At 39.8% G+C, this 17,709-nt stretch overlaps 1 protein-coding gene and 1 long non-coding RNA gene across 16 annotated transcripts in view, besides 1 other annotated feature; one reads left to right on the top strand and one right to left on the bottom strand.

Annotated features, from left to right (window-relative positions):
• The window catches only part of LOC101928236 (uncharacterized), a 220,247-nt gene that overhangs the window by 112,112 nt on the left and 90,426 nt on the right, over positions 1 to 17,709 (bottom strand). The gene's annotated exons all lie outside the window — the stretch shown is intronic.
• Positions 1 to 17,709, top strand: part of VEPH1 (ventricular zone expressed PH domain containing 1) — a 243,864-nt gene that overhangs the window by 221,771 nt on the left and 4,384 nt on the right. For all 15 annotated transcript variants that reach the window (XM_047448927.1, XM_047448922.1, XM_024453748.2 and 12 more), the window contains one exon: positions 16,173 to 16,309. In XM_047448927.1, the coding sequence (XP_047304883.1) occupies positions 16,173 to 16,309 (137 nt within the window). The remainder of the gene's footprint in view (positions 1 to 16,172; positions 16,310 to 17,709) is intronic.
• Positions 6,771 to 7,312: an enhancer, noted in NCBI's record as "OCT4-NANOG-H3K27ac-H3K4me1 hESC enhancer chr3:156992312-156992853 (GRCh37/hg19 assembly coordinates)". NCBI's record gives its function as "activates a minimal SCP1, AML or CMV promoter by ChIP-STARR-seq in naive and primed H9 embryonic stem cells {active_cell/tissue: H9 hESC(naive and primed)}" and the evidence as "EXISTENCE:reporter gene assay evidence [ECO:0000049][PMID:30033119]".

Below are 17,709 nucleotides of genomic sequence, written 5' to 3'. Positions count from 1 at the left end.
GCCGGGCGTAGTGGCTCACGCCTGTAATCCCAGCACTTTGGGAGGCCGAGGCAGGCGGATCACAAGGTCAGGAAATCGAGACCATCCTGGCCAACATGGTGAAACCCCATCTCTACTAAAAATACAAAAATTAGCTGGCTGTGGTGGTGTGTGCCTGTAATCCCAGCTACTCAGGAGGCTGAGGCAGGAGAATCGCTTGAACCAGGGAGTTGGAGGTTGCAGTGAGCCAAGATCATGCCACTGCACTCCAGCCGGGTGGCAAGCGAGACTCCATCTCAAAAGAAAAAAAAAAAAGAAAACTCGATTTTGATGTATGTGGTGGCTAGCATTGTAGTATGATGTCTTTTCTTCTACCACATGTGTTAGAGCACTGTCCTACGTGCTAAGTGTTGGTAGAGCACCAAAAACAACGGAATGCTTTTTATACAATAACTTCACATTTTCACACTGATATACTGGGACTACTGAGTATATATTGATTATGTAAAATTGAACCTCAGCTTTTTGTTCAGATACTTTGCAATACTTAAAGACAAAATAAAAACACACTTACAAACTCAGATAATTTATTATCTTGAAATCTTCCTTTTCTCCCTTTCCCCATCTTCCATCTTCCTATTTTATGTCTCTGTGGTATGAACATTCTTCTCTCCCTCTTAAACCTCTCCACACACTCTCATTTCTCTCTCCCTCTTTCTCTCTCTGTCTTTCTCTGTCTCTCTCTCTCTCTCTCACACACACACACACGCACACATATGCACACACACCTACATACCACCCCTAAGCAGAATTAATTTCTCTCTCTCTGTCCTTTCCATCCTCTGCCTACACTTCTGTATTGCACTTGGCATGTGGCCATCAGTCTTTCCCTCTGGACAGTAAACTACAAGAAGAACCATGGATTATGCCTCATCTTTGTACATCTTAACCAGTGCCTGGCACATTATAGTGTTTAATAAGCATTTGGCAAATAGATGAGTGATTGAGAAATTCATTAATCACTTAAGTGATAGAATACCCATGGGAAAAAATCGAATTTGTTTTGAAATGCAACTTGAAAATCTAACTTTTAAAAATCTAACTCTTTCTCAAAATTAAAAACAACTAACTGAACTGAAACCTGGAAATAGCATCTTTTGGAAAATTAGCTTTCATGAGAAGAAAACATTGCTGTATACAAGGTTTCAACATGTTGTGGAAACTGAATTTTAGTATTATGCTAAAATGTTACAATATACACATAGGCAAAGAGCTCATAGTAAACATGCTAATAACTTGTAAATCTTGAAGAGAAACAAGCTAAGATCAGTAACCTAACACCCCTCAGGGATTAACTTCTATTTTTCATCCAGCATCACTTTCCTACTCCTCTGCCTTTCCATATTGGGTCAACAATCTTGTCTTGATACAGAGGAAAAGTGTCAGATAGGCCATATACTTGCAACAAAGCATCAGTCATTCTGTGATTATCCACTAACAAATCACTATACGTAGTAATGTGTCCTTTTCCACATAGAGAACAAGCTGAGTCAAGCCAATATATAGATGAGGAGAAGCTTTGGAAAGGCAGACTAATGTGAGTACATTAGTTTCATCATCATACAAGCATAAGATGACATTGATTTCAAGAATTTTGTGCAGTTTTTAAAATAAAATACTTAGTATATTTTAAAAGAGCTCTAGCCATCATATTGCAGAGTAATCCTTTTTGTATTGACCTATGTAAGTACACTAAGAATGAAATTTGTTTATCAGCCACAAATACACCTATTTAAAAGAAATACTGGTACTATACTGGTCCTTTTTTTTTTTTTTTTTTTGAAACAGAGTCTTGCTCTGTCGCCAGGCTGGAGTGCAGTGGCACAGTCTCTGCTCACTGCTACCTCCACCTCCCGGGTTCAAGCGATTCTCCTGCCTCAGCCTCCCGAGTAGCTGGGACTACAGACATGCGCCACCACACTCAGCTAATTTTTGTATTTTTAGTAGATACAGGGTTTCACCATGTTGGCCAGGATGATCTCAATCTCTTGACCTCGTGATCCGCCCGCCTCGGCCTCCCAAAGTGCTGGGATTACCAGCGTGAGCCACCAGGCCCAACTGACATACTGGTACTTTTTAGCAGCCACAGAGAATAAAGTCATCAAAGGATGGTCATATTTTGCCTCGGATTTCATCCTTCCCACCTTCTCAGAAACTTCCCAGTATAGATTAGATTAACCTTTTTCTCTTCTCTATTCAATATTCCCCTTCCAACTGAGTCCTCCCATTGGCTTCTAAACATAATTAAGTGGCTTATCCTCCCCTTTCCCTCCATCTACTGCCTTATCTCTCACTTCCCCTTTAAAGCCAAGAGAGTTGTCTCTCTCTATCCACTGCCTTGCCTCCTTCTCATGACTCAACCCTCTCTAACCTTGTTTCTAACTCTATCATCTCTCTCTGTAGTCATTAACAACCTGCAAGTCACCCATGCACTGCACATGGTTCAGTCTTCATGTTATTTGTCTCTTGGCAATATTCCATTCCGTAAACCAATTCCTCCTTAAAGCATTCTTCTTCTTCAGTTTCTGTGACACAACACTCCTCTAGCTTCCTTCCTACTCTCTGGACACTCCTTCTTATCCCACCTTTCTTTACCTAGCTAGTCATTGTTGGAGTAACGCTCTTACTACAGTAATCACCTCTATGCAACAACTTCCAGATCTATATATGCGGTCCTGGCCTGGCCTCTCCTCTGAATTCAAGATTTACATCACCTACCACTTACTTGACTGCTTCTAAGGCACCCCAAAATCAGTTATTTTATTTTGTTTTATTTTTTAAGATAGGATCTTGCTATGTTGCCCAGACTGCTCTCAAACTCCTGGGCTCAAGCAATCATCCCACCTCAGACTCCAGAGTAGCTGAGATTACAAGCATGCACCACTCCCCAGCATCAGTTCATTTAAATTAAAACTCATGATTGTCTCTTTGCTTCCCCCAAACACTTACTCTTCTTCCAGCATTCCTTAGCTCAGTGAATGCAACATCACTCAATCTATTGTACCAACCAGAGGCCCACTCACTGCCTTCTCCACCACCCCCATCCAATCTATCACCACAAGATTGAGGATTTTACTTTCTCAATTGCTCTCAAATCTGTCCATTTCTCTCCACAGCACTAGTGCAAGTTGCCATCACCTTTTACCTACAATAATGGCCATAGCCTCCTCACTGAACTACTCTGAACCCTTCCAATCTCCCTCCCACGATGCAGCCAGAGTGAACTCTTCAAAACACAAATCTGTTGTGCCACCCCTTGCATGAAATCTTAGGTAGCTTCCCATAGCTCTTAAAGACCAAACTTCATAACATATCCTTCACGGTTTCACATGGAATGGTCTCTCCCAGCTTCTCCAGCTTTATCCTGTCCCACATTCCCTCTGCTCTCTTTGCTTTGCCTAGAAGAACACTCTTAAAGTTTCTCAGACTCACTGTACTTCTTCCTGCCACAATGCTTTTATATGTACTTTTTCTTCTACCAAGAATTCCCTCTCTCCCTTCTTCACTTAGTTAAAGTAGATCTTAGCCTTCTTATTACAAATCAAATTCACAGCTTCAGTATTGGAAGCCTTTTGTAACCCCCCGATGCATACTGAGGTCCTCAAAGCACCCCAAACTTCTTCTCCATAACATTGGTTACAGCTGCTGTCTTGTTCTTTTATGTGTGACTTTTAGATCAATGTCTACTTCCTCCAGTAAATAGTAAGTTCTATGAAGTGGACTCTCCTCATCCATCTATCCTCAGCCCCTAGCACACAACAGATGCTCAATAAATATGTACCAATAAACGAATGGCCAAAGTTAGTGTCTTCTCAGAAAATTTTCAGTAATAATTTTTTTCTCAGTCAAGTGATGACAAAAAACAGATAAATGAATTAACAATGACTCATTTTACAAGAAAAAGGTAGATATTCATATGATGACATTTACAGCATCTCTTTTGTGCCAAATATATTCTTTATATAAGCAGTCTCTTCTTAAATAAGTTCTTTTCATAAGTACTATAATAAACAGATCATGTTAATAGAATGTGTGATATATTCATATATATGTGTATTAAAAATATACATACACATGGATATGTACACATATATGTGTATATACATGTGTGTGTTTCATATATAACATACAGCATGTGATGGTGTTTATGTAACTGCTAAGGCTTCCAGTGCAGACATTATAAACATCTATTCATTGTCAAAAGGTTTGAGGCCAAGTGCTGAACCACAACAGATGGAACTCCTGTTTAAAAATTCCATAAAAGTGGTGTAGGTAACACCTTAATATGTTCCAGAATACAAGAATTTACAGGCAGGTAGGACAATGGTTACAATGTGTTCAAATGGTACAACCCAAACAAGTTGGTCCTCCTTATCACAGACGGGGCACAAGCTTGTCAGATCTATTTTTTCCAACCCCAGGCAAACTCTACAATCTGCAGGCAGTATGGGAAAGTGCTCAACATTTAAAACTAAAGTCCTATGGCCAGATCCCATCAGTAATATCTATCCACGCGATCTTATTAATGAGACTCAGTAGGACCAACATCGGATATGTGTGAAACCCTTTCTTATTAAAAGTTAATCTTACAATTAGACAATTATCAGCCAGGCACAGGGGCTCACATCTGTAATCCCAGCATTTTGGGAGGCCCAGGTGGGTGGATCACTTGATCCCAGGAGTTGGAGATCAGCTTAAGCAATATGGCATAACCCCATATCTACGAAAAATACAAAAATTAGCCTGTGGTGGCGCATGCCTGTAGTCCCAGCTACTTGCAGGGCTGAGATGAGAGAATCATTTGAACCTGGGAGCCAGACGTTGCAGTGAGCTGAGAACATGCCACTGCATTCCAACCTGGGTGACAGAGTGAGATCCTATCTCAAAAAAAAAAAAAAAAATTATCTTCTTCATTGCCACTCTCCTGATCTTTTCCTATTGGTCTCTATCAGTCATTGCACAGCAGTCCCAGGCAAATCTTCTTTGATGAGTTTCTCATAAAGACATGTACTACTCAGAACTATTAAACAGGTTACCATCTTGGAAAGTGCCCTTAAAATTTTTGTCTCACTATTAACACAATAAAAAAATAAGCAAAATTCCACAAACACTAATTCTGAACATTTTTTCTGTAACCCTATTGATTGAAACCAAGAACATGAATGTAAGCTTATACTGCCATCCTTGTCTTTAATTTTATCAAAAGGTCATAGTTTTCTCCCTACAATTGGTTTTGCAGTTTTACTCTTTCGTATATCATATAACCTATTACTGTCATCTACCACGAAGATACTAATTATTTCCTAGAAGTTTTTGAGCAACATAAGAATCACCTGTGGACCTTGTTTAACATGCAAGGCTTCTCACCCTATCCCAAAATTTTGATTCAGTGAGTTTAGGGTGGTTCCTGGAAATGTGCATTCTAACAAGCTGGCAGATAATTCTGATTCTCTGGTTCTCACAACACAGTTCAGGAAACATAGCCCTAAATGCTTACAACACCGTATTTCTGAAGCTTTTTTGCATCAGTACATCAGTAATTGGTCAGAGAAGCATATGTTTTGATGGGTATGAAATTACTGAGAAAGGAAGCCATTCAGTCACATGTGGCAGTGCCCTCAAAGGGCTGCTGTCAAACTTAGCTTGGCTGTCCAATTTTGGTCCCCACAATATTGTGTAGGATGTTACAAAGTCAGTGAGGATCATGCCTCCTGGTTTATTCACTGCCAGTAGAGAAATATTGCACTCTCAAACGCTGCCTGGAGATTCTTAAGAAACATGCCATTTGTTATGATCCTTAGCAATTTCAAAAACCACAGACACTCAGTCTAGTAAATGTGGCTCCTACGACCCCTTCATTTAATGCTTCTAGCCCTCTTTTTGCATATCCTCTGGAATTATAGTTTGCTTTATTAGAACTGGCACACACACCAAAGAAAAAAAAATCAGTAAAACCATGGAAGGAGATTGAAGTAAATTTGAAACTTTAAATACATACAAAGAAATTCCCCATAGACTGTATAGGATTCATAATTCCCAGAAGCAGTGTTTTCAAGGGGGAAAAAATGACATACTATACTTTTTCTCAGTTCTTACTTAAAAACTAAGAATTTGGAGTTAATTTATATTTCAATATCTAATCAATATCTACATATCTATATATTGATATATATCTATACATGTCAATCATTATATATATATATTTTTTGTTGGTTTTTTTTGAAATGGAGTGTCCCTGTGCCACCAGACTGGTATGCAATGGCACAATCTTGGCTCACTGCAACCTCCGCCTCCCAGGTTCAAGCAATTTTCCTGCCTCAGTCTCCCGAGTAGCTGGGACTACAGGCGCATGCCACCACACCCGGCTAATTTTTTGTATTTTAGCAGAAACAGAATTTCACCATGTTGCCCAGGCTGGTCTTGAACTCCTGAGCTCAGGCAATCCACCCGCCTCAGCCTCCCAAAGTGCTGCGATTACAGGGGTGAGCCACCTTGCCTGGCCTGGGGTTTATATTTTTTCTTCCAGAATATGTTTTCTTTTGAAGGCATTTATCTTTAACAATCAGAAAAGAGTATCTAGAAATTCAAATATCACAAATTAAACTCATGACAGTCTCAAATATGAGTTATTCATGCACAGTGCAATACTTTCAAGACAAAACTGGCATAAGCCAAAAAGCACACAGTATGAGTAATTTCTGAGTCTGGATGAAAGTCAGTGTGCCATGTGAACAGTAGTTATGTGGAGGTTATTGTCTATTGTCATTCCTTCCAGACTGTCACGAGAACAAGCAGAAACAAGCAGAAAGTCTAGGAAGAGAAGGAAGCAACCACAGATAACAGGAAATTCTCCCAAAGCAGCTCAATCTATTACTGGGTTGTAGATTGATTTACTGTCTTGTAAATGGAAGTTTACAGTCTTGTAAATGGCAGTTTACTGTCTTGTAAATGGAAGTTTCAATGAATACGTGGATGAGTTACTCAAAAACAGAAGAGGGCCAGGTGCAGTGGCTCATGCTTATAATCCCAAAACTTTGGGAGGCAGAAATGGGAGGATCACTTGAGGTCAAAAGTTCAAGTCCAGCCTGGGCAGCATGGTAAGACCCCATCTCTACAAAAAAAAATTAAAAATTATCCAGGTGTGATGGCATGCACTTGTAGTCCTAGTTACTTGGGGGGCTGAGGCAGGAGAATCGCTTGAGCCCAGGAGTTCAAGGTTCCAGTAAGCTATGATCAAGCCACTGTATTCCAGCCTGAGCAACAAAAGAGACCCTGTCTTTAAAACACACACACATGCAGACAGAGAGACAGAGAGTTCACCTTCCATTTGAGACACTTGGAATTGCCTTTCATACCTCCATTTTTATTAAAGGTCCAAGTTCAAAGACTGCAGGAGTCCCTCTCTTACTCTGAATTCTCTTACTATTCCTCACACTTTGATATAGGCCATTAGGACATGGTATTTCTAAAACCACCTGTTCATCACAGTGAAAAGATGATTATGATTTGCATTGATCCATGATGTCAATCATGATGACAGTAGCTACTATTTATTGATCCTTTATTGTGACCAGGTCTCAGCTAAGCAAGGCCACTGTCAACTGTTGTGGCACTTTTATGTGCTTTCATTTATGGTGCATGTAATCCTCACGGGGATGTATGGCTTCACTAGCAAAACCCCCACAGCCATTTGTGTTGTGTTAAGTATAACTCTAGGGAGTAGGAAAGGGAAGCTCAGTGACTTTAAATAGCTTGTCCAGGACCAGTCAGCTGGTAAGTGGCAGATTCTGGACTTCAACTGAGGTCGGCCTCCAAAGACAGTGCTCTTACCACATAAACCATAGGCCTATACTAGAGAAAGTCTTTGGTACAGTCTCATGTGATCTATTATAATAAAGAGTAAACATGGCATTCAGCACACTGGTTAAATAAATTATAATTGGTTAAAGACATTCAGAATTGCAACAAATCTTAAAACCAGGTAGAGAGTGAATTATTGAACTCTTGTGCTCTTGAAATAAAAGAGGTCTATGACTATACAAGCTTTTTTTCATTATGTTACACTACAAAGCATTACATTCCACTCTGCATGGTGCCCAAGGCTCTTTAGGATTGGTCTCTCTGATTCTCACACCTCATCTCTTGCCTCTTCTCTCCCACCCTGCTCCCTCCCAGAATGAGTTACAGTTCCTAGAATGCATTTTATGCCTCCCTTCCTCAGCTTTGGTCCTTTGCTATGAACTTTTATTCTTTTTTACTTCTTTTTTTGGCTCAATGACCTTCCTTCCTTTGCCTTCATAGCTGCAACTTGTCCCTGAGAATTCAGCCCAGACAGCATCTACTCTAGCAAGCTTTTCTGCTTTGTATGCCCCAGTTTAGAATAAGTGCCTCTCAGTGTGTTCCAGTTAGACCCTGTGCACAGATCTAGCCTGGTACTTATCCCACTCTGTACTCACTTGCTTACTGCATTTCTCTGCATCTCAATAATTGAGACTGTCATATTTGTGTTTATATCCCCTTTACCTGGCATGTGCCTAGTGCATGGTAACCATAAAGGCATTTTGAATAGAAGAATGGGAGAATCAATGAATGGCAATGGGTATTAATAAAAACTGGAACTCAGTCTTCCATGACAAGAATAACATGAATGCTAAATTCTCTTATTAACTGAGAAGAAACCACTGGGGGCATCTTATTCATTTCTAGTCAATTCCACCGCCAGGAGATAAAAGGATTTTTCTCTATTCTTTAGACCCATGGTTTTCCCCCTCTAACTCCTTTCTACCCTTCTTCCATAATAAGGGAATCACCACCATGTCTGTAGTACAAACTACCTGCAAATTGGCAAGTTGTAGGCGTACTTTGGTCTAGTCAAAAGCAGATCTGTCAAGAAGAAAGGTGATGGCAAGTGTTTCAGGATGCTTGAGGGATTTTGCTTGTTGTCTTTCTAAAGGGCCAAAGAATGACAACATCTGCTTATTATGAGAGTGTTTTGAGAAAGCTAGCAAAAGTTTTAGCAGAAAAACACCCAGGGGCTAGGCACAGGGGCTCATGCCTGTAATCCCAGAACTTTGGGAAGCTAAGGTGGGCAGATTGCTTGAGCCCAGGAGTTTGAGGACCATGGGCGACATGGCCTAACCCCATTTCTACAAAAATAAAAAATTTTTAAAACCAGCCAGATGTGGTGACACGTGCCTGTGGTCCCAGCTACTAGGGAGGCTGATGTGGGAGAATCACTTGAGCCCAGGATCTGGAGGCTGCAGTGAGTCATGATTGTGTCACTGCACTCCAGCCTGGGTGACAGAGTGAGACCCTGAAAAAAAAAAAGAAAGGGAGAAGAAAGAGAGAGAGAGAAGGAAAGAAAGAAAGAAAGAAAGAAAGAAAGAAAGAAAGAAAGAAAGAAAGAAAGAAAGAAAGAAAAGAAAGAGAAAGAAAGAAAGAGAGAGAAAAAGAGAAAGAAAGAAAGAGAGAGAGAGAGGGAGAGAGAGAGAGAGGAAGGGAAGGAAGGAAGGAAGGAAGGAAGGAAGGAAGGAAGGAAGGAAGGAAGGAAGGAAGAAGAAAAGAGACAAACACCCAGGAAAACTTTACTAGAGAGTCCTTGTCCACTAAGACAATGCTCCTGCTGGTTCTTCTCTTCAAACAAGGGCGATTTTGCAAGAGTTTCCATGGAAAATTATTAGGCATCCACCTTACAGTCCTGATTTGGCTCCTTCTGACTTTTTGTTTCCTAATCTTAAAAAATCTGCAAAGGGCACTTATTTTGTTTCAGTTAATAATGTTAAAACGACTGCATCAACATGGTTAAATTCCCAGGACCCTTAGCTCTTTAATAATGGACTAAATGGCTGATATTACCACTTACCAAAGTGTCTTGAACTTGATGGAGTTTATGTTGAGAAATACAGTTTCCACTTTTTATTTTTATCTTCTAATTCCATTTTTTTCATGAACTTTTGAAGTTCCCTCGTATATCTGAACTTTGTTGAATTTGACATATAATCAGTGCCTGATCGCTTCTGTTTTCCATCTCTCCTGCCCAGCTCCATGTCCCACAGGCTGCCATGTAGTGATTGTTTCAATAGGCTCTTTTAGCTCTGGCTTTCAGGTACCTTCCACCACTGGGGACACCAGTAAGCAGAGGGAGGGAGGAGAGAGAGGTTGAGTTATTGATTTGCTGGCTGCCTCCCTGCTTGGACACCGAGGGTCGACAGTGTCCTCTATTCCAGGCCACAGCTGTTATCAAACGGTGCTCTCCATACAGGTCTCCCACTAAGTCCTAACTGTTCTCTGCCCTTTCCTCTTCAGGCGGAGGAGTGTTAGGCCTGCATGGTTACTGGCCCCAGAGTACTATGGCGCTTTTCCTACGCCCTGCCCACATCTGAGTAAATAATCTAGTAACTCTATTAACTCTCCTCCACTGCTCAGTTTGAGATGCCATCTGTTTCCTGCCAAGACCCTGCCTGACACATCATTGATCCCATCTGGGGCCCATGAGGCTTCATGCTGGGCTAGCTGGACCCTCGCAGGCTCTAGGCCCTTTCTTAGTCCTTTCTAAAGGGGCTTCAGAAAAACTTTCCCATAAAGTCCAATATGACCTCTCTGTGACTGTTACTCAATCTCTTTCCTGGATCTTACACCTAGAAAGCCTTGAATTGACTTCTCCCTTCACCCCTCAGCCCATGAGGGGTGTTCGAGAGCACCTGCTTTACTTGTTTCTGAGTTTGCTGATTCTTCCGGCTTCTTCAGGTTCTTTTGTGTGTTTTCCCCCACACACCTACCTTGCTACCACTCTATCTGGAAAATCCTATCTGATCCTTTTCTGCACTCTATCTGGAAAATTCTCTCTTCTTCATGAGGGTCCCAGCTCTCATGTCACCTTGTCTCAACTAGAAGTGGAATTTCTGCTCTTCAAATGCTGTAACATGTGGCTTGTACTTCTCGGTGGCACTTGCCAAACCCTACACTGAGCAGTAGAATTTGTAAAATGCCATATCTTCCCTAGATGATAAATTAAAGCTCCCTGTGAGGGTGATTTTATGACCCCTCAGATCCAAATATAGTGCCTTACAGCTTATCTGTGCTCGAAAATACATACGGGGTGGGTGGATGATTGATAAATGAGCAGATGAATATTCTTTATTTTTTATTCTTCCTGCTGTGGGTCTTCTCAGCTCTGGGAGACCTGTTATTATTATACTTACTCATCAACTTCATGTTGAATAAGACCAACCCCTTCAAAATTCATTTTTTTAGCAACAAATATTTTTAACTTGGTGCAGAAAAGGGATAAAATTAACATATAAACATTTGTATTAGCATTCTGAAAAACTTTTAAGTTGACAAACACAGTAACAGTTTGGGTTCCAATTGCACTAGAAAATTCAGTTTAATAACCCATAGCTTTTATAGCCAGTTGATATTTTAAAAAATAAACAGATCCATGTTAGTAGAGAATGTCCTAGCCAAATTGTGGTGCTTTGTTTTTTGGTGTTTTGTTTTGTTTTGTTTTGCTTTTTTTTTTTAAGAGATGGCATTTCACTCTGTCACCCAGGCTGGAGTGCAGTGGCATGATCATAGCTCACTGCACACTTTGACCTCTGAGGCTCAAGCGATCCTCCCACCTCTGCACCCCTTCACCCCCGTGAGTACCTGGGACTACAGGTGCATGCCACCGTGCCCAGCTAATTATTTTATTTTATTTTTCTGTAGAGACAGGGTCTCGCTATGTTGCTCAGCCTGGTCACAAACTCCTGGTCTCAACTCCTGGCCTCAAATGATCCCTCTGTCTCGGCCTCCCAAAGCACTGGGATTACAGGCATGAGCCACCACACCTGGCCAAATTGTGGTGCTTTAAATGAAATAATGTGTTAATTGGAAAGTGAGAAAATGATTGAATATCCTCTATGTTCTACATGCAAACAATTTATTTTAGATGATACATGATCATACCCTCGTAGATCATTCCACATGTTATTTTTCAAATGGAATATGATGATCTTAGAAAAATAGTTTCTTGTTTTAGCTGTGAAGAGGCTGTGATAACATATCTGAATCACCTGCTTAAAAGGACGTACTATGGGCAATAGACCTTTAAAATGACACGTCCCCAGCCATGCATATGTTAGATGTAATAGCAAAAAAAAAAAAAAAAAACAACAAAAACAAAAACAAAAAACAAACAAACAAACAGTTTTTTAAGATACGGGATATAAAAATTTTGTTTTGTTTTTTGAAATTATTTTTAAATTAATCTCACAGCTCCAAATAGCCTGGCTTTTACTGACTTCTCTGAAACTGACTCTAACACCTAAATTTGGGGCCTCACATTCAGCTACTTTAAAGTTCTGCTAATGTTTCCTTTCTAAAACCATTTTCATTGATTTTTTTCCCCTAGGGCTGATTTTCACTGGGCTACGGTGAAAAGTCTTTGCTTCCCAGCTTGTCTCTGAAGTCCTTCATCCTTTGTTGTTAGTAAGCCTATCATTTGGTCTTGACTGTCTCATCATAGTTATTATATCCCATTCACCCATGTCTTTAAGGACTCCAACAATTTTGCCCAGTGTTCATTGTAAACTTTTGTCACACATTACTCTTCAAGTGAAACATTTGGATCTGCCTTGAGAAAAAATAAAGTAGTTAATCCTCTATGTCAGATCCAAAAGGATCCATGTACTTAAATATTACCTAAGTCAATCATTATTTCAAATCATCTCAGATATCATAACTATTTCAAATGTTTCTTTGAGTAAATATGAAAGACTGAGACAGGAAAAATGTATCACTATTAAATAGCATTACATTAAATCATCTTGTCATTAAAACCATGGTATCATCCTGAGCAACATGATGAAACCTTGTCTATACAAAAAAATATTAAAAAATTAGCCAAGTGTGGTGGTGTGCACCTGTGGTCCCAGCTACTCGGGAGGCTGAGGTGGGAGGATCACCTGAGCCTGGGAGGCAGAGGTTGCAGTGAGCCAAAATCTCACCACTGCACTCCAGCCTGGGTGACAGAGTGACACCCTGTCTTAGGAAAACAAAACAAAAAAACTGTAAAGTCAAGTCTTTCCTAGAAGTGGGGCTAGGGTGAGGGAGAAGCAGTGCCTTGTGCTTTGCTATTTACCTAGTGTCCTCACATAAATTTCTTTCTTTTGATTTTTGACCTCCCAGAATCCCAGGGGGCATTATTATTTTCTCTTGCTGATTAGAAAATTGTAATTTAGAGGATTCAAATCTAAATCTTCTAAGTTAATATTAAAAACCTTCAGATATTACAATTAGATTACCATTTTCTCTCACCTGAAAATATGAAAAATGGGTGCTTTTAAATTTTTTAAATTAATTTTGGCTTTGGTATTTTGTTTTTGTTGTTTGTTTTAACTTATTTTTCCCCTTTTTTCTCCTCTTGGATCACCTCTTGAAACCTTCTTTCCTCATCCCAGATAGTCTGCTGCACCCTTTGTGACTCAATGGTGTACTGTTAATAAACATTTACTGAGGCTCTAGCCCGGCAGGCACTGTGTTAAGGCTGTTCCTGATCTCAAGGAACGCATAACCCAGTGGGGAGACACAGTGCCCTAAGCACTTTAACTGAAGTCTCTGTAGATGTGGTTGCACAAAGGAAATCACCATGTTTATGGAAAATTTAAATTTGCAAAGATCATTACTAGCTTTAAGAATGCTCCACATCAGACAATTCCTATCAAAGCAAAGCAGAACTCTGAAATTATTTTCTTGATATTAATTGTAAGTTTATATTTCATGAGTTCCTGCTTTCTTTTGCCTCTGCTATGCTCAGTAGTAGCCTCCACCAGAGCTTCTCAGAAGATTGGGGGTCTTATCACTGAGGTGTCAGATCAAATGTCATCACCTCAAACATCCAAGCTCTTTCCTGACCACTGAAATGCATGCATGTACACCAAGCCCCCAAGTCACTTACTCCCTATTCTATATTCATCATAGTCCTTATCACTATCTTACAATATATTTGATATGTATTTTCAGTGTTTGTTTGTTTGTTTGGTTTTTGAGACGGAGTCTCACTCTGTTGCCCAGCCTGGAGTGCAGTGGCGTAATCTCAGCTCACTGCAACCTCCACCTGCCAGGCCCAAGCAATTCTCCTGCCTAGCTTCCCAAATAGCTGGGATTACACCCAGCTAATTTTTGTATTTTTGGTAGAGATGGGCTTTCGCCAAGTTGGCCAGGCTGGTCTCAAACTCCTGACCTCAGGAGATCCACCCACCTCGGCCTCCCAAAGTGCTGGGATTACAGGCATGAGCTGCTGCGCCTGGCCAGTTTTTAGCCTTAATTTGGAGTTGACAATGGAACAGCCAATTGAATAGTCATCCGGAAAAAAAAATAGCCTTAATAGTACTTTGTTTATGAAAACTCTACATTTCGGCTGGGCATGGTGGCTCACACCTGTAATCCCAGCACTTTGGGACGCCAGGGTGGATGGATCACCTGAGGCCAGGAGTTTGAGACCAGCCTGGCCAACATGGCAAAACCCTGTCTCTACTAAAAATACAAAAATTTAGCCGAGCGTGGTGGCGAATACCTGTAGTCTCAGCTACTCGGGAGACTGAGGCAGGGGAATCACTTGAGCCCGAGAGGTGGAGGTTGCAATGAGCTGAGATCGTGCCACTGCACTCCAGCCTCGGTGACAGAGTAAACTGTCAAAAAAAAAAAAAAAAGAAAAAAAAGAAAAAGAAAAGAAAAGAAAAGAAAACTATACATTTTATTATTTTTATCCTGAAAATGCTCTGTGAAAGTGGACAATCCTGTGAGGCAATTATTAGACCTATATTAGAAAAAAGAAATGGTAGTGTACAAAAGGCAGGTTGTGTTCATAGGGTCAAACAGGCACAGTCCAGAATTTTTCCAAACTGATGGAACAAATTTTATTACTTTCAAGGTGCTATGAAAATTGAAGATAAATATATATAAATAAACATTGTCCTACTACAGATGGAGCTTTCCATTGTCCCCTTCTGCTGAAATCAGATGCTTTCATCTGAATTTGAAGAGTGAATCTTATGTTGTTGGTAAAAGGAATAAAATTATTCAGTTCAGCGTCTAAACTCTGACATTGCAATGGATCTTCTAATTCTATGATCATTTGTAATCATGCACACTCTGCTTCAATGTAAAATTAGTCCATTCAGTCAACAAATATTTATAGACTTCCTACTATTTGCCAGGCACCATGTTAGATGCTTGGTGATTCAACAGAGAACAAAGCAAAGACCCTGCCCTTGTGGAGCTTTCAACTGAATGAGACAGAAAGATATTAATCAGATAAGCACTAATATCTATCTACAAATGATAATCCCTGATATATAAGAAACATGCCATGTGCCATGAGAACATATGGGGGAAAGCCACCCTCATCTGGATTTGGAGAGGGCTTTCCAAAGGAAGCAACATTTAAGTTGAAATGTGAAGTGATCAGTTGTTGACTAGGTGAAGATGGGAATACAGAGAGGGGAAAGAGAGTACATGTGTTCCAGAGAGTGAGACTAGCATGTACAAGAGTTGGGTAAGTTTGCCTTTGCTGCTTGGTGTTACCGCTTTAGGAACCATGTCTTTTGGAGTGCTGCATTGACTTTTGCTGCCAAATAGCTAAATATACTTGGGTTTATGATTATTTATAAAGCTATATTTCCAGCAGTTCATGTGTCATAAAGCATGGAAATTTGTTTTTTATTACCTAGTTACTGGCAAAATCAAAATGAAGCTTATGGCATACTAGATACTTTGTGCCAACATTTCAAACTGTTCCAAATTAATTTGGTTATTCCAACATTAGAAACAGAACACTATGAAACAAAGAAACCAAGCACAGAAAGCTAAATATCCAGATAAACTTTAAATACTGCTAACAGATGCTCTTTGTGTGAACCAATTTCTTTTGAAAATGGCAATGAGGGCTTTCAACAGTTTTCCATTGTCATATCTGAATTGTGCATTCTTTTAGGGACAAAGGAGGAAAGGTTAACCAAATTCATCATTTATTAGCCTACTTTCCAGGTGTGCTAACTGGGTTCTGGTACACTGTACAGTTCTGACTTTTGATCACCTACCTAGTAAATATTGGAAAATACATGGCATGATTATTCTGCTACCTTCAACAGTTGTAAATCAAGATGGCCAGCCTCTCATAGAAGGAAAACTTAAAGAGAAGCAAGTCAGATGGAAGTTCATCAAAAGGTGGAAAACACGCTATTTTACACTGGCTGGAAATCAACTTCTGTTTCAAAAAGGAAAGTCTGTAAGTTCCTCCATCATCTTTTACACTTGCATTTTTAAGGTTTTGATCTCCACCAATAGCTAAACGTTTTGTCTTGGGTTTAAACTCTAATAATTTTTCCATCTCCATTTCACCATCTTACAGCATTGTTTTATCACACATTTCTGTGTCTAGTCTGTTTATTCCTATGTTAGTTGATTCACTGTCCCCTTCCAGTTTATTATGGAAGCTTGTTTTAGTTGACTTTTTAGTTGAACTGCAGAGGGACTGCAAGTCTTGACTCAGACACCGTGCCCTTTGTTTCCTTGTGGACCACGTACACAAATTTATGACTTATGATATTGGCTCTGATTTTTTTATAGCTATAGTTTATATTTGGAAATGGGGGTCCAAAAAAGGAGGACATAGACAAGGAGGAAAGAATGAAGGCTGATTTACTTTAGGTACTTTTTATAGTCAACAAAGTTTAATTCTGATTAAAATATTACTGTCTTTCATCTATTTAATATTCAGTTAATGAATATAATAGAATTATGATCAAATTAATAAATATTTAATATAATTTTCCATTTGAATAGGATGTTCAGTAATTATTTGTATTGTGAATTTTCAGTGGGAAACCTCTGAAGTAGCATTCCATTGCAATCAATAATGCAAAGTTACCTTCTCTTCTTTTCAAATTGGTTTTATGTATCATTAAACTCTCCTGATTCAGGATCAAGAGGAATCAAATCTTGACCTACTTCTTGGCTATTTTAGAAAATAATCATAATGACTAGCATTTTTTCAGTGCCTACTATGCAACACCTTGGATTGCCTCAAACAATCCTCAAAACAATCCTATTAGGCCACCACTGCTATTATTGCCATTTCACAGATGAGGAAACTGAGTCAAAGAAACTGATTGGATTGTCCAAGGATAAAGCTAATAAGGTGAGAAAGGGTATAACTGGGGTCAAGATCAGGCAGTGTTACACCAAAGCATGTTCTTAAATGAGTTTACTGCTTCCCATGTATACTTAAAATACAGAGTCAGTGGTAAACTGTACTCACCAGGGATCTCCATAGAAATGGAACCAATAGGATATATAAAGACATATACGAGATTTACTATGGGAATTGGCTCATGAAATTATGGAGGGTGTGAAGTTCCATGATATGCTGTGTGCAAGCTGGAGAACCAGGAAAACTGGTGGTGTAATTCAGTCTGTGTCCTAAGGCCAGAAAATTAAGGGAGTCAATGATATAACTCCCAGTCCAAGGCCAAAGGCCTGAGAACCTGGGTATGGCAGTGAGCTGGGGGGAGGGATGTAAGTCCCAGAGTCTGAAGGCCCCAAAACCAGGAGCTCTGATATCCACAGGCAGGAGAGAATGCATGTCTCAGTGCAAGAAGAAAAAGCAAATTTATCTTTCCTCCAACT

Source organism: Homo sapiens, chromosome 3 (genome assembly GCF_000001405.40).
Source record: "Homo sapiens chromosome 3, GRCh38.p14 Primary Assembly".
Taxonomy (NCBI): Eukaryota; Metazoa; Chordata; class Mammalia; order Primates; family Hominidae; genus Homo; species Homo sapiens.
The sequence above is the reverse complement of the archived record's forward strand: the minus strand, read 5'-3'. Positions and strand labels throughout refer to the sequence as shown.